The sequence below is a fragment of the Homo sapiens genome, chromosome 12, assembly GCF_000001405.40.
Source record: "Homo sapiens chromosome 12, GRCh38.p14 Primary Assembly".
In the NCBI taxonomy this organism is placed as follows: Eukaryota; Metazoa; Chordata; class Mammalia; order Primates; family Hominidae; genus Homo; species Homo sapiens.
Window position 1 is genome coordinate 54,343,813 of NC_000012.12, and position 23,938 is coordinate 54,367,750.

The 23,938-nt window shown below is 49.1% G+C and overlaps 2 protein-coding genes, 1 long non-coding RNA gene and 1 pseudogene across 10 annotated transcripts in view, besides 7 other annotated features; 3 read left to right on the plus strand and 1 right to left on the minus strand.

Annotated features, from left to right (window-relative positions):
* The window catches only part of COPZ1 (coat protein complex I subunit zeta 1), a 26,716-nt gene extending 18,682 nt beyond the window's left edge, over positions 1-8,034 (plus strand). For 4 of the 5 annotated variants that reach the window (NR_073424.2, NM_001271736.2, NM_016057.3 and 1 more), the window contains 5 exons: positions 1,648-1,703; positions 3,955-4,032; positions 4,188-4,239; positions 5,808-5,846; positions 6,664-8,034. Coding sequence is in view for 4 of the 5 variants with exons in the window: in NM_001271736.2 (NP_001258665.1) it covers positions 1,648-1,703; positions 3,955-4,032; positions 4,188-4,239; positions 5,808-5,846; positions 6,664-6,711 (273 nt within the window). In the remaining variant the exon portion in view is untranslated. The remainder of the gene's footprint in view (positions 1-1,647; positions 1,704-3,954; positions 4,033-4,187; positions 4,240-5,807; positions 5,847-6,663) is intronic. The other variant, NM_001271735.2, reaches the window with a different exon arrangement.
* On the plus strand, positions 798-1,064 carry RN7SL744P (RNA, 7SL, cytoplasmic 744, pseudogene; annotated as a pseudogene).
* Positions 6,886-20,674, minus strand: GPR84 (G protein-coupled receptor 84). 3 transcript variants are annotated; one of them, XM_047429017.1, is made up of 3 exons: positions 20,581-20,674; positions 19,092-20,047; positions 6,886-8,783 (listed from the first exon to the last, which is right to left on the minus strand). In XM_047429017.1, the coding sequence occupies exons 2-3, from the start codon at positions 20,037-20,039 to the stop codon at positions 8,754-8,756; spliced, it is 978 nt and encodes a 325-aa protein (XP_047284973.1). In that variant the 5' UTR covers positions 20,040-20,047; positions 20,581-20,674; the 3' UTR covers positions 6,886-8,753. The 3 variants fall into 3 exon arrangements, with proteins under 3 accessions (XP_047284973.1, XP_011536797.1, NP_065103.1); XM_011538495.3 differs by lacking the exon at positions 6,886-8,783 and having other exon boundaries at positions 18,633-20,047; positions 20,632-20,674; NM_020370.3 differs by lacking the exon at positions 6,886-8,783 and having other exon boundaries at positions 18,633-20,047.
* The window catches only part of GPR84-AS1 (GPR84, ZNF385A, ITGA5 and GTSF1 antisense RNA 1), a 113,340-nt gene continuing 99,280 nt past the window's right edge, over positions 9,879-23,938 (plus strand). For both annotated transcript variants that reach the window (NR_120486.1, NR_120487.1), the window contains exon 1: positions 9,879-10,084. This is a non-coding gene — a long non-coding RNA (GPR84, ZNF385A, ITGA5 and GTSF1 antisense RNA 1). The remainder of the gene's footprint in view (positions 10,085-23,938) is intronic.
* Positions 13,132-13,957: an enhancer, noted in NCBI's record as "H3K27ac-H3K4me1 hESC enhancer chr12:54750728-54751553 (GRCh37/hg19 assembly coordinates)". NCBI's record gives its function as "activates a minimal SCP1, AML or CMV promoter by ChIP-STARR-seq in naive H9 embryonic stem cells {active_cell/tissue: H9 hESC(naive)}" and the evidence as "EXISTENCE:reporter gene assay evidence [ECO:0000049][PMID:30033119]".
* Positions 13,958-14,782: an enhancer, noted in NCBI's record as "H3K27ac-H3K4me1 hESC enhancer chr12:54751554-54752378 (GRCh37/hg19 assembly coordinates)". NCBI's record gives its function as "activates a minimal SCP1, AML or CMV promoter by ChIP-STARR-seq in naive H9 embryonic stem cells {active_cell/tissue: H9 hESC(naive)}" and the evidence as "EXISTENCE:reporter gene assay evidence [ECO:0000049][PMID:30033119]".
* Positions 14,783-15,607: an enhancer, noted in NCBI's record as "OCT4-NANOG-H3K27ac hESC enhancer chr12:54752379-54753203 (GRCh37/hg19 assembly coordinates)". NCBI's record gives its function as "activates a minimal SCP1, AML or CMV promoter by ChIP-STARR-seq in naive and primed H9 embryonic stem cells {active_cell/tissue: H9 hESC(naive and primed)}" and the evidence as "EXISTENCE:reporter gene assay evidence [ECO:0000049][PMID:30033119]".
* Positions 15,165-15,404: a silencer, noted in NCBI's record as "silent region_4525". NCBI's record gives its function as "represses an Ori minimal core promoter by ATAC-STARR-seq in GM12878 lymphoblastoid cells {active_cell/tissue: GM12878}" and the evidence as "EXISTENCE:reporter gene assay evidence [ECO:0000049][PMID:35858748]".
* Positions 15,415-15,484: a silencer, noted in NCBI's record as "silent region_4526". NCBI's record gives its function as "represses an Ori minimal core promoter by ATAC-STARR-seq in GM12878 lymphoblastoid cells {active_cell/tissue: GM12878}" and the evidence as "EXISTENCE:reporter gene assay evidence [ECO:0000049][PMID:35858748]".
* Positions 15,635-15,814: a silencer, noted in NCBI's record as "silent region_4527". NCBI's record gives its function as "represses an Ori minimal core promoter by ATAC-STARR-seq in GM12878 lymphoblastoid cells {active_cell/tissue: GM12878}" and the evidence as "EXISTENCE:reporter gene assay evidence [ECO:0000049][PMID:35858748]".
* Positions 20,603-20,692: an enhancer, noted in NCBI's record as "active region_6441". NCBI's record gives its function as "activates an Ori minimal core promoter by ATAC-STARR-seq in GM12878 lymphoblastoid cells {active_cell/tissue: GM12878}" and the evidence as "EXISTENCE:reporter gene assay evidence [ECO:0000049][PMID:35858748]".

Genomic DNA, 23,938 nt, shown 5'->3' on the forward strand with positions numbered 1-23,938 from the left:
ATAAGCCCCCAGATAATTTGAGGCAAAAGTGAAAGTTTGAGAAAGTCAACTCTTACTGAGCTCTTATTATTGGTATAAGTGCTTTGTAAAGTATATTGTTATTTAAACCTCATAGCACTTCTATGAGTTGTAGGCATTGGTGCCTTTGTTTTACAAATGAGGAAACCAAACCATGAAGAACTATATGAAATTACTTGTATGTGACCATTGAGAAAAGTACAAAAGTGGCAGTTATCTGATGTGGTTCAACCTAGTAACTTTCTCAGGGTCACACATGTAGAAAATGGCTCAGCTTGGATTCCAACCCATATCTGTCTGACTTAAAGTCCATGCTTTTTAAAAAATTTTGAGACATAGGCCGAACGTGGTGGCTCACACCTGTAATCCCAGCACTTTGGGAGGCCAAGGTGGGCGGATCACTTGAGGTCAGGAGTTCGCGACCAGGCTGGCCAACATGGCGAAATCCCATCTCTACTAAAAATACAGGCCAGGCATGGTGGCTCACACCTGTAATCCCAGCACTTTGGGAGGCCGAGGCAGGCGGATCACGAAGTCAGGAGATTGAGACCATCCTGGCTAACACAGTGAAACCCCATGTCTACTAAAAATGCAAAAAATTAGCTGGGCGTGGTGCGGGCACCTGTAGTCCCAGCTACTCGGGAGGTTGAGGCAGGAGAATGGCATGAACCTGGGAGGCGGAGGTTGCAGTGAGCCGAGATCATACCACTGCATTCCAGCCTGGGCAACAGAGCGAGACTCCGTCTCAAACAAACAAACAACAACAACAACAAAAATTAGCTGGGCGTGGTGGTGGGCGCCTGTAATCCCAGCTACTTGGGAGGCTGAGGCAAGAGAATTGCTTGAACCTGGGAGGTGGAGGTTGCAGTGAGCTGAGATTGCGCCATTGCACTCCAGCCTGGGTGACAGAGCCAGACTCTCAAAAAAAAAAAAAAAATTTGAGACAGGGTCTTGTTCTGTCTCCCAGGCTGGACTGCAGTGGTGCGATCTTGGCTCACTGCAACCTCTGGCTCCCAGGCTCAAGTGATTCTACCACCTTAGCCTCCCAAGTAGCTGGGACTGCAGGTGCCCACCACCATGCCTGGCTAATTTTTTTTTGTATTGTTTGTAGACAGGGTTTTGCCATGTTGCCCAGGCTGGTCTCAACTCCTGAGCTCAAGCAATCGGCCTGCTGCAGCCTCCGAAAGTGCTGGGATAGAGTCAGAGTCTAGACAGGGTCTAGACGTTACAGGTGTGACCCACTGTGCCCAGCCAATTAAAGTCCATGCTTTTTACACTAACTCTGAAGCCTTCCTCTGACCTCAGCTATTGCTTGGTTAGTAATTTCTCTACCTAAGACATCAGGTAACACATATACAGTTGGTGAAGACATTGTAGAGGACTGTGACAGGGAAGTTCTGTTTAAACTTTTGGCTAAAAGATGTTGAATTGTGGAATCATGTAGCAGAATTTATTTCTGTGAGAAATCACAGATCCTTTTCCTGTTGTGCTCTCACTTCCACTTTATGTTTTTGGTCCTTTGTGAAAGCCTGTGTCTTTTGATGTTTAATGAATTAGGAGGTTTTGTTTTTAGGTAGCAGCTTTCAGGGCCTTGAACCTTATCCTTCTGCCTCCTCTGTTTCCCAACAGCTGATGCTTATGGCTGTTCTGAACTGTCTCTTCGACTCATTGAGCCAGATGCTGAGGTGAGCAGGACATTCTTTTTTTTCCCCTCAAGTTATGATGGAAAGAGCAGGGCATTGTTGATTTCTTTTTGGGAGATAAAGTAACCATTCTTCAGGCCCAGGGATTGTAGGGGATTGGCAAAGGCTCCAGGGAGTTGATTTAGTTTTAGAAGTTGGGTTTTGCCGGGCTCAGTGGCTCACGTTCGTAATCCCAGTACTTTGGGAGGCCAAGGCGGGCGGATCATGAGGTCAGGAGATTGAGACCATCCTGGTTAACATGGGGAAACCCTGTCTCCACTAAAAATACAAAAAATTAGCCGGGCATGGTAGCGGGCGCCTGTAGTCCCAGGTGCTTGGGAGGCTGAGGCAGGCGAATGGCATGAACCTGGGAGGCGGAGCTTGCAGTGAGCCGAGATCGCGCCACTGCACTCCAGCCTTGGCGACAGAGTGAGACTCTGTCTCAAAAAAAAAAAAAAAAGTTGGGTTTATTAATTCACAGTAATTCATGCTACTGGGGAGGACTGGATGGAGAGTATGTCCCTCCCATAGAATAATTCTCTTACTAAGTAAGGGGACTGGGAGGGAGCCGAATCTTTACCTCTGTGTTTACTCTTGTAATCCCCTGTGGTCCTGTCAGATCTGAGCATCCTCAAGGTGCTTTCCTGGGCTTCATTCTTGACATTAGAAGTAGGGAAAGGCCAAGCATAAGGAAGTGTCCCAGATGAAATGTCATTCAGTACTTCAGGAATGGAAGCAACACTCCCAATTTTTTTTTCTTTTTTTTTTTTTTTGAGATGGAGTCTCACTCTGTCACCCAGGCTGGAGTGCAGTGGCGTGATCTCGGCTCACTGCAACCTCTGCCTCCCAGGTTCAAGCGATTCTCCTGCCTCAGCCTCCCGAGTAGAGTAGCTGCAATTATAGGCACGTGCCACCACGCCTGGCTAATTTTTGTATTTTTAGTGGAGACAGGGTTTTACCATGTTGGCCAGGCTGGTCTTGAACTCCTGACCTCAAATGATCCACCTACCTTGGCCTCCCAAAGTGCTGGGATTATAGGCATGAGCCACTTAGACCAGTTTTTTTTTGACTTCTAGTCCTTGTTTTTTCCCTTCTGTAGAACAGGAAGCACCCAGGCAGGAGGACTGCATGAGTCGAGTTCAAGACAAGCTTGGGCAACACAGTGAGACCCTGTCTCTGCAAAAAATAAAAAAATTAGCCAGGTGTGGTGGTGCATACCTGTAGTCTCAGCTACTTGGGAGGCTGAGGTAGGAAGATTGCTTGAGCCCAGGAGGTTGAGGCTGCAGTGAGCTGTGATCATGCTACTGCACTCCAGCCTAGGTGACATAGCAAGACCCTGTCTCAAAAAACAAAACAAAACAAAAAACAGGAAGCTTCTGCCATTTACCCTCTCCTCCCTTTCCACCTTCCCACTAGCCCTCTGTTCTCTGTTACCCGTGTAGATGGGTAATAGAAGAGATATAAGTTACTTTTCCTGAAAACATCCAGGGCTCTGAACTTCATTCCCCCAGCAGCTCCCAAGTGAACCCAGTACAGACAGCCATCCAGACCAGAACAGCAGGCACTCTCAGCCCTGCAAAATCAGCAGGGTGAATGGCTCAGATTTCCTCAGGAAGGGGATGATTTATTTCTTATCCAGGTGAATGAATAGTAATTCATTCGGGTAATCTAGTGAAAGACTCAAACTGACAGATGTGACAGGCCACATGCACCAACCAACGGATCTGAGGCTGGTGTATGCAGACCCTGCCCCCTCTTTGGGCTTCTTTTCAGGGCCTGAGCAGAGCTGGTAAGGGATAGGGAGAAGAGGGAACAGAGAATGTCTCAGGAGGTTTGTCAGAGCTTGAGTACAAATAAGGTTTGCATTGAACCCCTCTCACCTCCGGCCACCTCCAGACTGAGTCTTAGCTCTGTTTATATTGTTTTTTTCCACCCACTGATGTCAGTGTTTATGAGCAATGTTATGAGCAGCATCATGGCAGGTAGGAAAGAAATAATAGCGTGGATAATCAACCCCTGAATAGTCAGAAATTGACTGTGTTATTTGAATCTCTTTCCATACATTCCTTATTCAGCAAACGAGTAGAAAGGGGTTTTGAGTGAACTAGCTAAAAAGTTCTTCACCTTATTTACTTCTTTGTGTGGTTGGTGGAGATGTTTATTGGTCTAGTTTAGGTTCCTCAATTGAGACAAGGTCCTAGGATTTCTTTCACATACAAGTTGGTTATTCTCTTCTCTTCTCTTGGGGACTCAGGAAAAATGTAGAAAAGCGAGCACTGCTGGAGAACATGGAGGGGCTGTTCTTGGCTGTGGATGAAATTGTAGATGGAGGGTAAGTTCTCTGACCTGCCTTGATCTTGGGTGAGGTGGCGGGATAACTGCCCCTGTCCTAAGTCAAGCAGGCTCAGTGGCCAGAGGTCCTGTTCCCCGACAGTGAGTTGGGCCTTCGGGACAGAGTGAACAATGATCTCTTCTTTGTTTTTGCAGGGTGATCCTAGAGAGTGATCCCCAGCAGGTGGTACACCGGGTGGCATTAAGGGTAAGCAAGAATGTGTTTCTTTGCATCCCCGCATCTATTCACAAACACCCTCCAGAGCCAGACCTGCTGGATGTGTCCAGTAGTTGGGGCTCATAGGATACATACAACCTTCTCTTTTTCTTTCAAATACATTCAGCCTTTCTCTTCCCTTCTCTTCTTATTGTCCCAAAGAAAGAAGCAGAAATAACTTATTTCTACCCCTAATATGGTGCCTAACATCTCATACAGTCTTTGCACAAAGTGGACATTTAATACATACTTATTTAATAAATGATAAAATAAACTTTAATATTTATGGTTTTGAAATTATAAAGCAACTTGAAGTTGGCTTATTCCCTTCTTGGAGATGGATCCAGTCATCTGAGGCAGAGGAGTGTCTGTTTTGTCTTTTAAAGTGTTACATAGGACTGAGCGTGGTGGCTCACACCTGTAATCCCAGCACTTTGGGAAGCCGAGGCTGGCGGATCACAAGGTCAGGAGTTCGAGACCAGCCTGACCAACATGGTGAAACCCTGTCTCTACTAAAGACACAAAAATTAGCTGGGCATGGTGGTGCGTGCCTGTGATCCCAGCTACTCAGGAGGCTAAGGCAGGAGAATTGCTTGAGCCCGGGAGGTGGAGGTTGCAGTGAGCCGAGATTGCACCACTGCACTCCAGCCTGGGCGACAGAGTGAGACTCTGTCTCAAAAAAAATAAATAAATAAAATAATAATAATAAAGTGTTACATAACTGAGGATGGTACCTCTCCATTAGGAAGTACTTATTTGCCAGAACCTCAGTCCTCTTTGGTGCTGGTGATATCAGAAAGGGGCCTCTGAGTTAACCATAGAAGGCCCCAGGTCAGCTGAGGAGATAATGGTGGATGCAGAGAGAGCCCACCAACAAATTATACGGGTGCAAAGATGTCTGAGCAAAGCAAATCTCCCCATTCACAGAATGTCCTGGCTCTGACCTCCACAGAGTGAAGGCTGACAGTGCTTGGTAATGGGAAATCTCTCTTAACTGCTGTGGGCTCCATTTGCATAGTTTAATCTTCTCCTCTAACATATGTCTCTGTGTGGCAAGAGAGAGGGTCCCCCCCATCAACTCCCCGCTTTGTCTTCTTAGGCTGCTGTTGCAGCAGTTTATTTCTTCAAATTAACATGCTGTCGTTACCCATCAGGCTTTGCGGGATCCATTAAACCACTCCTGGCTCCCCCTCATCCTTTCCCTAGTGATACTGATATTCAGAAAAGGCCTTTTCTGACTAGGGAATCAGGTCCTCCACCCCCACGTTAAGGGAGTTGAGGATCAGATAACCTGCTGGTTACTCTGAATGGAGTTAAATCTTTTAAGAAGTCCTCCTGCCTTAAAATGGAAGCTGGATGAAATGACCCTTTTTTGTTCATAGTCCCTCTGGCCAAGTAAAATTGTAGCTGTACTAGTCCCTAGAAGGGACTGAGAAGTTCAGTGCATCTGCCCTTTGTTTCAGTTTAAAGGATCACTTTTTTCTTCTCTAATACCAGACTCCAATCAGGTCTTACTCCAGCTTTCTCCCACACTAAATGCTTGTATCTCTGTGCCATAGGGTGAAGATGTCCCCCTTACGGAGCAGACCGTGTCTCAGGTATGACTCTCCCTTCTTCCTTTCCAGATGGACTGGGTCACTAAAGAGGCTAGAACAGCATTCCACCCATACCTCTCAAATCTGAGTGAAACTAGAGACTCAAGACACATCTTCCTTGGCTCCCTCTTATTCCAGAGAACTGGGACTCATACAGCCAGCCACTCCCTACCCCTACTTCCAACTCCTTTCTCAGTTACCTGTGAGCAGTGGCTGTCAGCCTTGCTCTGTACCCTTCAAACCCTCCCTGCCTGCCTGATGCCTCATTCAGTGATTTATTCCCCAGCAGAGGCTTGCCTTAAGCAGATGGTCTGTGTGCATTTGTGCACACACACTCTCTTTCTCTTATTATTCAATTGAGGGCTAAGCTGGAAATGCATATTCTAGAATATGCAGGTTTTGCAGATCCATCTTGCTACCTTGACTGCAGATAGATTGTCTACCTGATGTAGGGGGAAGGGAGGGGTTCCGTTTTCTACCCACTTGGAATTCTCACCAAGAAGTCCATCTGGATTTGTTACCCGCCCCCTGCCCGCCGCCCCTTTTAACATATGTCCAGTAACTCCCTTTTTTTTTTTCTTTTATACCAGGTATACCTCTTCTCTCTTCATCCCCTCAGTGGGTTTGAATTTTTTTGGAATTTTCCAAACAATCTGCTAGGGCCTTAGAGAGCTTCTTCCCATCTCTTTACCCTTGGGGATTTTCTATTCTCCATTCTTCTAAGGACAGGGAAGACAAGTGAGGGGAAGGAGATCCCCAGCCCTCATCCTTACCCTGCCCTGTCAGCAAGCTTTCCTCAATGCTGCTCTTATCTCTGCAGGTGCTGCAGTCAGCCAAAGAACAGATCAAGTGGTCACTCCTTCGGTGAAGACCTCACTGTTCCTGGCTCTTCATCCTCTTCAAAAAATTTGCATGTCTGCTGTGAATTTTCATCTAGTTCCCCAATCGATGCTCTCAGGGTCATCTCGGGGATCACAGGGATCCTTAAATCTCCATTCTGTTTGTGGTTGCCCCCTCAACCTCCCCTACACCCTTCCTATTCTTTTTCATTCTTCTTGCAGTTCTGGGAGTAAAGCTCCCAGCATATTTAGATAATAGGGCAGGGGAAGCACCCTCTTTCTTTCTAGACTGGATTATGCTCACATGCTCCCTTGCCCTGACATTTTTGTAAATTCTGTGCCCTTTGCTGTAGCTACACTTCAGATTAAAGTAGGAGAAAGAATGTGCTGAGTGTTTTCCTCCCTTTGCCTCTACCTGGCCCTCATCCCAACAGCCCAGCAAGGGGAGAGAGAAAGAGAATTCTTTTCTATAGAACGAGTGGGGGCGGGGATGGGTAGGGATTTATCCAATCTAAGCCCTAACCCCACTTAGTGACCTCAGTGTTTTCTTCCATTCCTTCTTACTGCCCTGTCCTCTGCCTTGGAAGAGGCTTTGGGAATAGTTCATAGGGAAGGGACAACATGGAAGAAACAGCGATTTAAATTGTATTGAACAGGGCATATAAAATGCATTCTGTACCCTGATCTGGCATATAGCTTCAAAACTGCAGTGGCGAGTGTCCATCTCTTAGTTAGCTACCTTAACTGTCCACCCTTACTACCTGTGGGATCGTTGCCTGGTTTGTCTTCTCTGTGTCCTGGAGCAAAGCCAGTTCCTAAAACTAAAACTCCATTCTAGTCTTGGGAAGAAAAGTTTCTACTCAGAACTGGGGAAGGAGTGGAACTTATGACTTGGGCCTCTAGGCTGTCTCTGTCCCCTCAGCTCCCCGACATGCATTTACTCTCTGCCGTGGGTCTGCAGTCGCTGCAACCTACCCTCTCTCTGCCTCAGCCTTACACCCAAGCAGTAGGTCTGTGCTCTCCCTGTCTCTAGGTCGCTGAGAGAGGTGCTTTTCTTCATAAAACCTTTGGGGTTTGGATTTCCCCAGGAAGATGGAGAATGGAATACTCACTCTTGGGTCTAATCTTTCCCCTTGACCCAGAACTTCCTCCCCACAAAAATGCCTTTAAAAACCTTCCTGAGACTTAAGCATTCTGCCCCACTTACTAACTGCCAGTTCTCCAGCACTGAGGTGGGGCAGATAACGGGGCATATTTAAGGGGGCATCTTTGTGTAAAAGATGCATGGAGTCAGGAGAAAACCACCTTCATAAACTGCTCTGTGCAAAGAGGAATAAAACATTTTTTCCAAACTGCCTTTGTGTGATGTTTCTGTTTCTCTTCCTCTCTTTTTGGCAGCTACTCCTGTTCCTCCAGCCCCCCGTCATTCCCCATCTTATAATATTTCTTCCCTCCTACCTCAGAGACTCCTAGCAGTGCCCCCCCATCCCTAATTTACGGGGCTGTTTGCCTCCTTGGCATCTCTCCGTCCCCTCGCCTGGAAATTGGCGCCAGGGGTGGGGTGGGGATGGTATTTTCTCAGTGGGAGTCCCAGGGAACTGAGTTCTTCCCCCATCACCCCCAAAGCCAGCTGCCTGCTCCCGCCTCAGCCATTAGTAACCCAGAGACGCGCACCTGCGTGGGGGCTCTTCTCCAGCCCTTGCTCACTTCCTGCACCTCCCACTCCTGCTCTGAAACGGCGCTGAGCGGGTTATTTATCGGAGCCAGCGCTGCTCCAGAAGGTCAGGACGGTGGTGTAAATAACCTCTTCTCGCCATTTCCCCGTCCCTCCAGAGCCTGCTCCCCTCCCCCTCCTCCACCTTTATTCGCACAAATGAATGTGGCTGGGCTGGCGCAGCGCCTGGCCCTGCATCTTAATGGGGCGGTGAGCTCACAAGATGGATTTAGCTGGGGGTTTTATGGTTGCCGCGGCGACAGAATGCTTTGGTTTTCTTTCCCCCTTCCTCTGCAGGATTTTTAAGGAGGGGGGAGTGTGGGGAGCCTCTTCTCCACTGCAGTTTGAAGGGTCTCCTCAGTCACCTCTGCCGCTCATAAAATGGACCTGCAATTCCAGGATTAAGCAAGGGAGACCAAATTAGTATCTCAGATGGGAAAGGATGGGGGAAGGAAGGTAGCAGGAATGGGGAGAGTCTCTCCAGCATCAGAACATGAAACCCAGAGTTTTCCAGTCTTGCCTGCTCTTCTGTGAAAACCTGACAATTAAGCTCAACAACTATGGGGCACCTGTGCATGGGATACTCCTCAGCAGGTAGAAAAGAAAAATACCTGGGTGTACCACGTCTGCCAACAGTCCTGCATTGAAAGTTGGAGTGCAAGAGTTTGGATAAAGACTAGGTACTTCTTTTGTCTTTGCCTGTCTGAGCTGGGGAAAAGCAATACTCAGCCTTAACATCCTAATCTTCCTACTCACCACACAGCATTGACCTGGGGGAGGGGCAGTGTCAGTGCCAGAGCTGGGTGGTGGTGATCTGTGATGGTGTGGAGTTCTATCCAGTTCTCAAACTTGGAATTCTCTGAGCTTCAGTTTCCCCAGCCTGGTCTGGGTTAAACTCCTGCCTTCTGTTTTCCAGCATGAATGGAACTTTGGTGCCCTGGCCTACCCAGTCTTTTGGCCAGCAATTTTTTTTCAGGGCTATGAGTAAACACATCCCCAAGCACTGACTGAAGCAGAGCCTGGGAGCAGGGTCTGATTATTTCTTTTCCTTGGTTTCTTTCTGTCTGTAAGCCTCTGTCTTTCTGTTTGTGAGCCTTTCCCTCTTTCCCAGGGAATGCTGGGAGGCCCCTCCTCCCCTCTCCCCCTTCCTCCCCTTTGGCTGGGAAAGTGGCTACAGCCTGAACAGTGCCAGACACCTGCCTGCCAGATGTGGCGATTCCCCATTCTTCCCCCCACCCCCCTATGTCTATTCTTTCCCTACCCCACTGAGCTCAGGCAGAGGGAGCCCCCCAACAGGGTGATTTACTGCTGCTGCCTCTGTTCCTCAAGTGCCCTCCTCCACTCCTCTCCCTCTCCCTCCCCCTGATGCCCATGCCCCCTCTTTTCCCACAATGTTCTGCAGCTACCTTCTTGGTACAGCCTCCTCCCACTCCTACTCCAGAGTGCTAGGCTATGTAAACTCCAGCTCCTGGACTAGAGAGTGAATGCATGGGGCAAAGGTGATTAGCCTTCTGTTTCACCCATGGGAGAGTACATCAGCAACAGGGCTGAGGACAGGGGCAGCCAGAGCTGATGTCATTCTCACTGGGGGAGGAAGAGAGGTGACAGAGTGGAGGAGGTGAATGGGGAAGGAACCAACACTCCAAGACTGTCTGGAGAGGAGAAAAAGGTCTCTGAGAACTTCCTAGGTAGGTGACAGAGAGTCCAGAATTGTGGATGCCTGGTGGACATCACATCTTTCTGGCTGAGCCTCCAGACCTTGTCTTTGAACCTGTATCTCAATATGACTTAAGAGATGCCCCTCAGCTCCTCCCCTTCACACTGACCCAAAACACACAGAGAGAACTTTAAGTCCGCACCCTTCTCTCTTTAGTGTTTGTCATTCTGTGTCTTTTCTTTTCTCTTTTCTTTTTTTTTTTTTTTTGAGACAGGGTCTCACTCTGTCACCCAGGCTGGAGTGCAGTGGCATGATCGTAGGTCACTGCAGTCTCGACCTCCCTGGGCTCAGGTGATCCCGCCACCTCAGCCTCTTGAGTAGCTGGGACTACAGGTGTGTGCCACCATGCCTGACTAACTTTTTGTATTTTTTATAGAGACGATGTTTTGCCATATTGCCCAGGCTGGTCTTGAACTCCTGGGCTCAAGTGATCCACCTGCCTTGGCCTCCCAAAGTGGTGGGATTACAGGCATGAGCCACTGCACCCGGCCTGGTGTCCTTTTTTGTTTGTTTGTTTGTTTGTTTGAGATGGAGTCTTGCTCTGTTGCCCAGGCTGGAGTGCAGTGGTGCAATCTTGTCTCACTGCAACCTCCGCCTCCCGGGTTCAAGCGATTCTCTTGCCTCAGCCTCCCGAGTAGCTGGGATCACAGGCATGTGCCACTATGCCTAGCTTTTTTTTTTTTTTTTTTTGTATTTTTTAGTAGAGACAGGATTTCACCACGTTGGCCAGGCTGGTCTCCAACTTCTGACCTCTGGTGATCCGCCCGCCTCGGCCTCCCAGAGTGCTGGGATTATAGGTGTGAGCCACCATGCCCGGCCTATGCCTTTTCTTTTTCAATCTCTTCCCTCTCATTTCACCCTACCTCCCTTAGTTGTGCTTCTCTTTCTGGTCACCTTCTGCCCACCCTGCCCTTCCGTGCCATATCATAACCCAGTATGATTCCCAGACCTCCCACTAAAGCAGGGACTCATTCAGAGCCTCTTTTCTCCTTTCCATCTATTCTTGGAATCTTAACTCCCAAAGGTATCCTCTGGGTCAGAACAGGGTTCTGAGGTGGGACTGAGGTAGGAGGGATGGCTGGGCTGAAGAGTGGCAGAAACAGGACAGATGGAGCAGCGTCCAAAGAATTTGGGGAGGGGCGAGAGGGAGACAAGAAGATGGAAAGAAACAAAATGAGAGAGAAAAAGTGATTGAGAGACCGAGGCAGAGGCTGAGAGACGGTGAGAATAACAAACTGGGAGAATGAGAGACACAAAGAAGGAAGGCAAGACTGGGAGCAGAGAAAAAGAATAGAGTTGGAAACAGGAAAGTCATAGCAAGAGAAGGCCACTAGGGAGGGGCCAGGCAAAGGGCAGCCTGGCTCTCCGGGGCTCCCTCATGCCATAAGTCCTGTGTGTGTGAGTGTGTGTGTGTGTGTGTGTGTGTGTGCGCATGGCACATTTGCACAGGGGTCTGCGGTATGGATAGGATGATTTCCACAATATTTTTCCACTTCTTTCAGCAGTCTCTTTCCTTGAGGCACCCCATACTAGCCCCCCATCTCCCAGTATTCCAGATGCTCAAGGGACCATTCCAAAGGTATTTCCACAACTCGGCAATCCTGGCTTTCTCACTTGGAATGCAGGCCTGCTGGAATGTCCAGGATCTGTAGAATGAAGAGCCCCATCCCCTCACTGCCCACCCCCCATGCCTGCCCACCAGCTGCTCCTGTCTATCTTCTCCCCATTCTCCTTGTATCTCCCCTTCCTCCACACTGACCCCTCCCCCAGCTCTGACCCCCAGCCTGCCTGGGGCCTGGGTCAGAGGGGAGACAAAGACAGGATTTATCACCAGTATTGAGAAGTAGCCAGAGACCAGGGCTGAGGGCAATGGCTGACCTCCTTCAGATAGGAGGGAGCACTAGGCCGGATGCCGGGAGGCTGGAAGGCTGGGTTCCAGTGGCTGCTGCTCACAACCCCATTTTCCCACTCCAGCTTTCCTCTCTCCCTTGTCTCTGAAGACTTGGAAAACAGAGAAGAGTATGACCCTGAGGTGATTTTAGGCCTCTGAAGGAAAACCTGGGAGAAAGGAAGAGATGAGATTGATATCTTAGGGTTATTCTTTTATGGATATGGAAGAGGATTTGGAAACTAGAGGCAATCAGGCACCAACTGTTTCCAGGGCTGGGAAAGAGTTCAGGCCTAATACTGCAACAGATGAGAGGGACTGTCCTCTAATATAGAGAGGGACTTCTCAAGAACAGGCCCTGGTTGCCAGTAGGAAAGGAAATAGGGGTGATTATGGGTCCTGAAAGGTGGGAGAAACAGTCTCACCTGAAGAAAGAAGAAAGAAATGAAATTTACCAAGGGCTAATTCTAGCTCTAGCCCCTCTGAAAAAGTCTTCTTCCCTAAGATCCCCAACTCCCTCCTGAGAGGTACAAGGAGCAGCTGGTCCTTTACAGTAAATACACTATTGGCCCGAAATTGTCTCTACTCAGCAGACAGGGTGTGTGCTTGAGGAGAGGGAACAGTATGATCCAGGAGTTTCCGAGAAACCAGACTGTATATCTTTCAGTGGACAGCTCCCGCAGCTTCTCTAGCTGCCCTTGGAAGCCCACCACCAGCCCCTCTAGAATCTCAGTGTGTCAGAAGCCTCCACAAACCCAGCTCAGAATCTTTCATGCCCCTTCCAGCCCCTGGCACCCAACTTCCTGCTTCTTGCCTTTACCCTATTGTCCTGGAAGACGGCTGCTAGAGTTACCTCCGAGTGAGAAGACAGTGGAAGGATGAGAAACTGAGGGATCTGGGAGTTACCAATCTACCAGTTTCTCACCACAATCCCACCAAGCATTCCCACCCGGGTCTGGTGAGGGAAAACTTGTGGTCTCTCTTAAACTCCTCTGCAAGCTGAAACCATTCTGTCAATTTCTGATGCAAAGCCCAAAATTGGAAATTTTAGTGGGAAGGGGTTGTGGATTGCAAGAGAATGGGAGAGGACAAAAGAATTGGGTGGAGGGGGGTGGTGTGGGCACACCAAGTAAGGAAGAAACAGGAAAGGGGAGAAGAGAGCATGTCTTTTTTCCTCAGTCCCCCTTCCCCCAGTTGAAGAGGCAGATTTACAGCCTTGGTTTGGAGAGGGGGTGAGCATAAGGAAGACAGATCTGCAGTTCTGCCCTCTGAGTGTCTGGGTACTTAGCTTTAACTCCCCCATTAGCATCAATCCCCATCTTGCTGCCCATCCGTCTTCTGACATCAGCTCCTTCCCCTCTCTGTAGCCCAAGCTTTCTGACCCTAAGTGGCTCTTAAAGGGCCAGTCTAGACCCTTCCCTCCCTCCTGCCACTCCAGGCAGCAGTCTAGTGTATGTACGCATGTGCATTGTGGCCAGCCTTGCTAAGGCCATAGCGGTTGGAGGGCATGGGGGATGGGGGCGATGTGTGACTCTTCCCCAGCTCTGTTTTCCTTAGGTCTCCCTTATATTATGGACCTCCATCTTTGTTCACTACCCACCCAAACCCAGAACAAGCCCTTTCACTGGGTTGGGGGGTCACAGACACATGGCTTCTAGAGCTGAGGGCTGCAGAAGGTATGTGGATCCATAGGCAGATCCACCACCCCTTCTCAATTTCCTGGAGGCCCAGAGCAAGGGATGTCAAGAAGTATTGGCTGTTTTTAATTCTCAGCAGCAGTGAGGGTGGGCAGGTTGGAGGCCAAGACTCCTAGGAGATGCCCTGAGCCCCACATTCCTAGCCTCCTTTCCCAGGGATCCAGGCTGTGGTCTGTGGAGGTGGGGGATTTCAAATCTTCCTTTCCTGTGAGGATGGTGACAGGCCAGAGAAATCTGCCTCTGAATTTTCTGGCTTATCTCCCCTATTCCTCAGCAACTGAGCTTAAGGGGACAGGGGGGAAATGGGCTTCTCCCCACCTTCTGCAAAAATGTTGTAACTGCACACTAGGGGCTATACGAATGCCAGGATGCTTGGAAAGTTCCTCCCCTATCTGCCTTCAATCCTTTCTGCTGCAAAGCTCTGCAGTCCTCTGAGGGGCTCTACAGGATAGTCAACCCCTCTTCCTGATACCTGAAACCCATTCCTCACCTCCGTCTGTGCTTCCTTCTCTGGCTCAGGAGGAGAGGGAATGTGTGGGTGGGGCCTTGGGAAAATGGCCATGTTAAAAATAGGAGCCCCCAGCTGCACCCCCCAGTGGACCCTTATTTATCACCTTCTAAATCTCACTCTCAAAGAAGCATAAATATTCCTAATTCCTGAAGGCCACCCTGGACTCATAAATTTAACTGGGGAGGTGGGCAAGGGGAGGAGTGAGGTGCATGGGATGGGGAGCTTACTGCAGCCTTGAGGAAGCAGAATATCTCCTGGGGGAGGCGCCTGACTCGTCTGTCCCCTTGCAGACGCCAATGGGTCTTCATAGGGGAGGAGGAGGAGCCTTTCTGTCAATATTTCCGTTGGGGAGTAGTCTTCTCTCACGGCACCTTTCCTCCCTCCCCTAAAAACAAACAAAAAACCAAAAACCTACCTTCCTCCTGGTCTTTCCCATTAGTTCTCTGTCGCTCTCCCTCTCTCTTTTCTTTGCTATTACCTTCCAGTTGTCCTTTCCTGCTTCTCCCTCTCTCTCACCTCCCTATTGCGCCTTTCTCTGTCTTTGCTTCTCTAATGCTTTTCCTTTTCAGAGCCATTGTGTGAAAAGGAAATTTCCGTCTCTTATTCAGTCTGGATAGTGAGATTTGAAAAGTCCCTCTCTCGATGCCCGATTTCCCTGCTTCAGCCCGTGTGGCCCCTCAAATGTGTCCTTTCTCTTCATCTCTCCTTCTTTCTTCTCGGATCTTGGACAAATTACCCAACCCCCCATTTAGCTCCTTAACCCTCTCTCTCTTCCCCTGCCTTCCTTCTCTCCTCAACCTTCCTTTCTTTCTGTCATCCTTTTGCCCTCTCAGTTTCCCCTTCGTTCCTCAGCTCGGAATCCTCTCTCCCTGTTCAGTCTCCTCTGCTCTCCCTGTCGGCCCCCATCCACACCCCTCAAACTCGACTCCTCGGCCCATGTGTACCCTCAGACCCCATCATCCCTTCAGTTCCCGTTACCACCACACCCCAGTTTCCCCTCCCAGTGGACGAAAGAGAAGGGAGGAGGGGGCCTGAGGAACAGGTAGAGGGAGCGCCATTCCTTGAGGGGAGGGAAAGAGGGGAAAAAAGCGGGGGAGAGGAGGAGGGACGCGGCGGGAAGGGGAGGGGAGGGGCATCCTCACTCCTCACTCCCTAGCAGCTGCACCCCCCTCCCCGCGGCTGCTGAGCCATAAATCAGGGCCAAGGTGGTTTGGCCAATGGTAGAGTGACTCGTAAATCGGCCTGTCAAGCTCAGCCAATGAGAGGCGGCGTTAAATCAAGTTCTGTCAGCGCTTGGCCAATGAAAGGCCCTGGGCTGACCATAAATCTGCCTGTAAGAGACAGCGAAAGAGAGAGAGCGTGCGAACGAGCAAGAACAGCCCGGGCGGGCGACTGGGGAGGGGGCGGGGGGAGCGCGGCAGCGGGGATTGGAGAGACGAGCTTAGGAGAAAAAAAAAGGCGATAACAGAGGTACAGGAGATGAAGACAGCCTACAGGAGAGACGGACAGATGGAAAGAGACAAAGAGAGGCAGTGAGAGATAGCGTCAGAAAGTCAGGGATAGAGCTCGGACTCGGGCGAGAGACTGACAGAGATAAAGAGACAAAGAGAGACAGACAGTGACTCACACTCGTGAGCATAAAGGGCCTCCAAACACACACACATCCCGAGACACGCATGAGCAACGCACCACGAGGGACCCAGTGCATGGCCTCACTCGCCAAGCACAACCGCAAGAGAGAGAAGGCCTCAAGAAAGCCTGGCTTTTCTTCAGTTTCATTCCCCTCATTCAGCCCTTATTGAAATTAGGGGCTGGGGTGGATGTGTGGGCCGTGGCGGGTGGCTGCTTTTTTGCTAAGATCTGTCCTCTATGGTCTTAGACCCCAGGATTTCCTTCTGTGTCTCCTGAGTTTTTTTTTTTTCCCCCCAGCGACTGATAATTGGGAAGTCCTTTCTGAGGTCTAACCTCAATCCCTATTGCTTCACCTTTCTACTTGACACCGTTGTGATTTGCCTTCTAAGGACATGTAAAGTGAATCCTTTTACAACTCTTCAGAGTTGTCAACTTTCAGAATCTTAGAAGGTCTGAATAGGAAGGACAGTTAGGGATCATCTGGACACTTGATCCTAGTTTTAGAAAGGCGGATTTGAGACTCTGCCCTCAAATCACGGTCTTACAACGTACTAGGCATTCGGCCTTGGACAAATTACTTAACCTATTTGTGCTTCAGTTTTCACATTTGTAAGAAAGAAATTATAATAGATACTTCATGGTAATTTTGTGAGGATTACATGAAATAATATATGTACAGGGAACTGCACTGGGCACGTGTTAAGAGTGTACCCCGCACCCCGCTTTGTACAGATGATAAAATCTGAGCCCCAGAGTGGTCCAGAGATCTGCTCAAGTTCCGAGAGCTAACTATGAGAGAGCCTTGACTGAAACCTTTGTCTCTACACCCATAAACTGTTGTTCTTCATTGGTCCAACAGTTTACCTGGACCCCTGCCTTAGTAGCCCCAGCTTGATTTGGTTTAGGCTCCTGTGACTTTCGTGGAAGGAGGACAACCAAAAGTGCATGTTCCATATTAGGAGTCAGGATTCCTGGACCCTAGAAGTGTGTTGCATGTGAGGGTATCAATCTGTCCACCCCAACTGTGGTTCTTTCTGCCCTTAATATCTTCAGATTTTACTTTGTTCTCTCAAACCATGGACTTGGGGGAGGGAGGGGACAACATGCAGCCAGAGCATTAAGGTCAGCATGACTCACATTCCATCCCCAGTGCCACCCCAGTGCCCACACCGCTACTTCCCCCAGCCCCACCTCAAGTAGACAGGAATATCTCATGAATAATAAATGTCTCATTCTTCACTTTTCTTCCTAAGCTTTGGGGGAAAGGGAGGGTGAAGATCCCTGGGTCTCTACTCCCTGGTCAGGGGTCTCTGGATTCCCAGTCCTGCCTTGTGTCCTCAACTGGGAAGCCAGAAAGGAAACGCAGAGAACCAGCGTCACCTGGTGGCCACAGGTGCTTTAAGGATGTGTGTAAGCACGCACATTGTGACAGGATTTGGTCATTCTGGAGGGAAGGAATGGTATGGTTTCCTAGCCTGGCCCCTGAGCCCTTTTAACTAGAGTCTTTGTTTTCCTGCTTTCTTTTTCTTTTCTTTTTTTTTTGTTTGAGACAGAGTCTCGCTCAGCCACCCAGGCCGGAGTGCAGTGGCGCGATCTCGGTTCACTGCAACCACTGTCTCCTGGGTTCAAGCGATTCTCCCGTCTCAGCCTCCCGAGTAGCTGGGATTACAGGCACCCGCCATCATGCCCGGTTAATTTTTGTATTTTATTTTATTTATTTATTATTATTATTTTGAGACAGAGTTTCACTCTTGTTGCCCAGGCTGGAGTGCAATGGCGTGATCTCGGCTCACTGTACCCTCCACCTCCCGGGTTCAAGCGATTCTCCTGCCTCAGCCTTCTGAGTAGCTGGGATCACAGGCATGCGCCACCATGCCGGGCTAATTTTTCTATTTTTAGTAGAGATGGGGTTTCTCTGTGTTGGTCAGGCTGGTCTCGAACTCCTGACCTCAGGTGATCCACCTGCCTCTGCCTCCCACAGTGCTGGGATTACAGGCATGAGCCACCGTGCCTGGCCCATAATTTTTGTATTTTAGTAGAGACGGGGTTTCACCACGTTGGCCAGGCTGGTCTTGAACTCCTGACCTTAGGTGATCTGCCCACCTCCGCCTCCCAAAGTGCTAGGATTACAAGTGTGAGACACCCCACCAGGCCTGTTCTCTTGCTTTCATAAGTCCAGATGACAAATGCAAGGCAACTGAGGGCCTGGGACTCAGGTGAATTAGCCCCATGGGCAGGACCCTGCCAGGGCAGCTGGAACCTTTTTCTGCCTTTGCCTTAACTAAGCTCAGTTCCATTTCTACAGACCAAGGAGTCCTCCTCCATGACCATTCCCTTCGCACAGAGTGAGGGCTGGGGGACTGGTCCCACTGGAGTAGATATCAAAGCTGGATTATAAAACTTTTTTGAGCTGAATAAACTTGTTTGTAGGGATGGCGGATCCTGGCAGCAGTGGTTAGGGGCAGAGGCCATTTCTGGGAAATTAAACAAAAAGGCAGGCTAATCCTCTTAAATCACCTCACATGTTTTATTACCTAGAAACCCCTCTTCTAAAGGCTATGTCCCAGGCCAGCTGCTTCCTGCTCCTGCTTTGACCTAGGTACCCCTGAATCCTTAGGTATTAGGTTCCAGCTCCTGGTGGCCACAGGTGCTTTAGGGATATGTGTGAGCATGCACATGGTGACAGGATTTCGTCATGCAGGAGGGATGGAATAGTATGGTCTCCTCCTAGCCTGGCCCCTGAGCCTAACCGTGACCTGTTTCCTTCTTCCCCAGAGACCACACCTGAGCATTAAAAGCACAGAATTCATTTATTAATAATTAATAATACTCCTTGGGCAGTCTAGGGCTGAAACATTGATCAAGTGATGGAGAGACTTGATTTGGGAGGCTGGGGAGAGATTGTTGTGAAAATGCCCACATGTGTTATTTCACCTATTCTCCTATTACCTGGCCACTTTGGTCCTGGAGGAGACAGTCCTGAATTCTGGTGACTAGGGTCACAGTTCTAATGGAGCCTATGGAAACTCCGGGGCCCTCTTTTTAAAATGGAGCCATATGCTTGGCGGAATTGGCGGTTCATGGCTGCATAGAGCACAGGGTTGATGCAACCATTGAGCCAGGTGAGGTTGGCAGCAAGCATGTGGACCACCCGGGGAGCCTGGACTCTGGCATCCAGAATGTTGAGCAGCAAGAAGGGGATGTAGCTCAGGGCAAAGCAGAGGAACACAGCAAAACACATTCGAGTCACCTTCCCAAATTCCGATGAAGAATCCGGAGCTCTTCTGGCTCCTTTAATTGGCTGGGCTTTGGCAGATGCTTCTGGAGGGCTTTTCTCTGCCATCTGCTTAGCTCTCTTGCTGTTGATCTGGTCTCCCACTTCTGATGAGTCCCCTTCCAGGGTCTGGGTGGTGGCAGCACTGACTGGCTCAGATGAAATCCCCTCACTGGGTCCTCCTGATGCTAACCTGCTGTCCAGCTCCTGGAAACGACCAGGCATGGCCTCATCAGTCCTGGCCACATGGTTGGAGTGGATGCTTGCCTGTCGCAACTTGTATTGGTCCAGTGCCTGTGCTGCTCGTTTGACCTGGCGGTGGATGAGGCAATAGAAGATGCCAACACTGCTGAGCCCAAGCACAAAGTAGATGCCCATGAGGATGGTGGTGTAAGGCCGGCCTCGGATGCGGTCAAAGCTGCAGGTGCAGACTACAGGTACCAGGATATAAATAGGCCAGAGGGGAGCAAAGCTGGCCACGCCCACAACCCAGGTGCTCACCAGTGCCAGCACTATCCCCTTGGCACTGAAAACTTGGGGAAAAAGCTTAGGGTGGGCAATGAGGAGGTAGCGTCCCAGTGCGATGAGGCAGAGGGTCAGGATGGAGACAGAATTGGAGGCAAAAAGGAGGAGCCCAAATACCCTGCAGAAGGTGGCACCGGTGCGCCAGTGCAGGTGGAGGTAGGTGTCCACAGAGAAGGGCTGAAGGAGCGTGCAGTAGAGGAGATCAGCCAGTGTGAGGTTGGCTATGAGCAGGTTGAATCGGGTACGGAGCTTGGGCTGGATGGCCAAGGCCAGTAGGGTGAGCACATTGCCCACGGTGCCTGTCACAGCCACCACCACCCCCCAGCTAACTGCAACATAACGATAGCCCAGCACAGACTCATGGTAGCAGGAGAAGTTGGCGTCAGAGCTGTTCCACATGATAGAGGCTAAAGAGGCAGAGGGTGGAAGAGGAAGAGGGAATCAGAACCTAGCATTCAACTTAGATCTCTTGAACAGTTCTGGGACCCTGGACATCTAAACTGTTCCTGGACCTCACCTTAATTCAGTATCCTCCTGAACCATTCCCAGGCCTCTTCATCTCAAGATCCCTAACTCTCTCCTTAGGTTCTCTTAGTCCTTTCCCATTCTCAAATATTTCCCCAAGTTTTTATCTAAATATCTCTTGCCTAAATATCTTAGTCTTATTCTGCTCCAAACCTCAGTCCTCTTCTATATCCATCCCGCTGCTCTCAGTAAACCCAGTGCCCTCCAACTTTTTTAATTCCTTCCCCATCCCCAAAGACCCCCAGGAGTCCCCTCTCTCTATTCAGCATCGTGTATTCAGGATCCTCTCTGTATTCAGTTCCCTCTGCTCCTTTCCACTACACACACATATAGGCTTTAGTCATTTCTGTTTGTTACCACCTGGGAGATGAGGAGACCAAGAAGGTAAAAGTATACCCACAACAAAAGTGCTTACCTGAGTTTCTCAGCCTTCAATTCTTTCTATAATGGAAGAAGTTCAACTCACCCAAAGAGCAGTCCTTTCTGGTGGACAGTTAGGCTTCAAGCAGGAGACATCCTGCTCTTATGTATCCTATTATAGTCCACTGAAAGAATAAGAAACTCCCCCATTACCCAATCCCAGCCACTTCCTTCACCACCTCCGGTCCTACTCATTTTGCTTCGGCTAGTGAAATCTAGGCTTCTCTGTTGAAAGTCCCCCGCTACTTACCTCAGAGTGGTTTCACTCTTCCTTTCTCCTTCCTGAAACCCAAACTCTGTTTTCTTCCCCTCTTTGCATGGCAGAACTCATCTGTAAGATCATTGCCAAGAATTGCTAGGGCACGGAGTCAGAGCATCAGAACATTTGGGCCACTCCTCAAAGGGCCAAAAGATAAGACCAAGTTCCAGGAGCAACTTTAGGTACCCCCAGAAGCCTTGGGTTTGTTTCAGAGGAGCACTACCTTTCTTGTCTCCACGGCTTAGACATGGTTCAAGTCAGAGGGACCCATGTGACACCCTAGCACATTTGAGAAACCAAGTCAGATGAAGAAAAGTGGGGAATGAGGCATCCAGAATTCTGGTTTCATTCTCCTCAAGGGATCAGGGTCCTGTTCAATCATTCATTTATCCATTTACCCAACAACTTAGTACTGAGTGCCTACTATACACCAGACTCTGATCTAGACACTGGGGATACAAGAACGTCTGATATATGGCCTTGTGCATAGTCTACTAGGGGAGACAGATACATAAATATGCAAATGCTTAATCGATTCTCCAGAGCAAGGGTGAGTAAACTTCACCCTATGGGCCAAATCTAGTCTGCTGTTTTTGTATAGCCTGTGACCCAATCATGTTTTTTTTCCATTTAAAAATGGTTATATTTTAGGCCAGGTGCAGTGGCTCACGCCCATTATCCCAACATTTTGGGAGGCCAAGGAGGGCAGATCACTTGAGGTCAGGAGTTCGAGACCAGCCTGGCCAACATGGTAAAACCCCGTCTCTACTAAAAATACAAAAATTAGCCAGGCGTGATGGGTGCGCCTGTAATCCCAGCTACTAGGGAGGCTGAGGCAAGAGAATCGCTTGAACCCGGGAGGCGGAGGTTGCTTGCAGTTAGCCAAGATCACATTGCACCACTGCACTCCAGCCTGGATGACAGAGCAAGACTCCGTCTCAAAAAATAAAATAATAAATAAATAAGTAAGTAAAATAAAAATGGTTATATTTTAAATTGTTATATAAGTGCCTATGTAATATCCTCAGTTTTATCTCTTGATTAACACAGTTTAAAATATTTATAATCAGGCCCTTTGAGAAAAAGTTTGCTGAGGCTTGCTTTAAAATACTATATAGGCCTGGCTTGGAGGCTCATGCCTGTAATCCCAATGCTTTGGGAGGCTGAGCTGGGAGGATGACTTCAGGTCAGGAGTTTAAGACCAGCCTGGGCAACATAGTGAGACCCTGTCTTTACAATAAAAAAAAAAATAGCCAGCTGTGGTGATGTGCACCTGTAGTCCCAGCTACTGGGGAGGCTGAGGTGGGAGGATCATTTGAGTCTGGGAGGTCAAGACTACAGTGAGAAAGATTGTGCCACTATACTCCAGCCTGGGTGACACAGCAGGACGTTGTCTCTGAAAAATTAGAAAAACAAACTAACAGGCTGGGCGCAGTGGCTCATGCCTCTAATGCCAGCACTTTGGGAGGCCGAGGCAGGTGGATCATGAGGTCAGGTGTTCGAGACTAGCCTGGCCAACATAGTGAAACCCCGTCTCTACTAAAAATACAAAAAATTAGCTGGGCGTGGTGGCAGGCGCCTGTAATCCCAGGTACTTGGGAGGCTGAGGCAGGAGAATCGCTTGAACCTAGGAGGTAGAGGTTGCAATGAGTCGAGATGGTGCCACTGCACCTCAGCCCGGGCGACAGTGTGAGACTCCGTCTCAAAAACAAACAAACAAAAAACAAACAAAAAATACATCGCTGGGTGCAGTGGCTCACACCTGTAATCCCAGCACTTTGGCAGGCCAAGGCGGGCAGATCACTTGAGGTCAGGAGTTCAAGACCAGCCTGGCCAATATGATGAAACCCCGTCTCTACTAAAAATACAAAAAATTAGCTGGGTGTGGTGGCAGGCACCTGTAATGCCAGCTACTTGGGAGACTGAGGCAGGAGAATCTCTTGAACCTAGGAGGTGGAGGTTGCAGTGAGCCGAGATCGCGCCACTGCACTTCAGCCCAGGTGACAGTGCGAGACTCCGTCTCAAAAACAAACAAAAAACAAACAAAAAATACATGGCTGGGTGCAGTGGCTCACACCTGTAATCCCAGCACTTTGGGAGACCAAGGCGGGCAGATCACTTGAGGTCAAGAGTTCGAGACCAGCCTGGCCAATATGATGAAACCCCGTCTCTACTAAAAATACAAAAATTAGCCAGGCGTGGTGGTGCGCACCTGTAATCCTGGCTACTTGGGAGGCTGAGACAGGAGAATCGCTTGAACCCAGGAGGCGGAGGTTGCAGTGAGCCGAGGTTGCACCACTGCACCCCAGCCTGGGCAACAGAGCAAAAACTCTTTCTCAAAAAACAAAACAAAACAAAACAAAACAACCCAGAATGATATATCAGAGGCTTAGAGAAAAGGAGCATACTATTAAGTAGGAGGTGAGGAAAGGGTTCACAGAGAGGTTACTGAGCTGCATTCTGAATGATGAACAGGAGAGTTTTTTGGGAGATAAGTAGAGGGACATTCTAGACAAAGAGAACAGTATGTGTAGAGGCGCAGAGGTTCAGGTAGAAGCCAACAAAGGGCATGAGGTAGAGAACAACAGAGAAGAGCTTGGAGAGTTGAGCAGGCAGGGTCAAGGGGGACCTTGTGTATCGTGCTAAGGAGCTGGTTTCATGCTGAAGGAGTTGGTGAGATTTGCACTTAGATTGCTGTGAGTAAAGAATGAAGGCGTGCAGCCTGGGAGTGAGCGAAATGGGTAAAGAGGCACTAGTTCAGACGAGAGATAGAATGGCCCTAAGTTAGGGCCAGACCACCTGTACAACTGCATAGGGCCTTGCAGTTTGAAGGGCCTGGTGCTTGGTTAAATGCTCGTCAATCACTGTTTTTAAATTCTTAATACTATACTTTTTGAATAAGGGGCTCTGCTTTTTCATTTTGCACTGGGTCCCACAAATTATGGAGCCAGTCCTGGTTAGGGCAGTGGTTGTGGGAATGGAGGAATGATAAGGATCCATAGGTTGTTAGGAGGTCAAATAGGACTTATTTAGTGATTCATTGGATGAAGAGTTAGGAAGAAGGAGGAACTAGGATAACTTTCTGTTTTCCAGA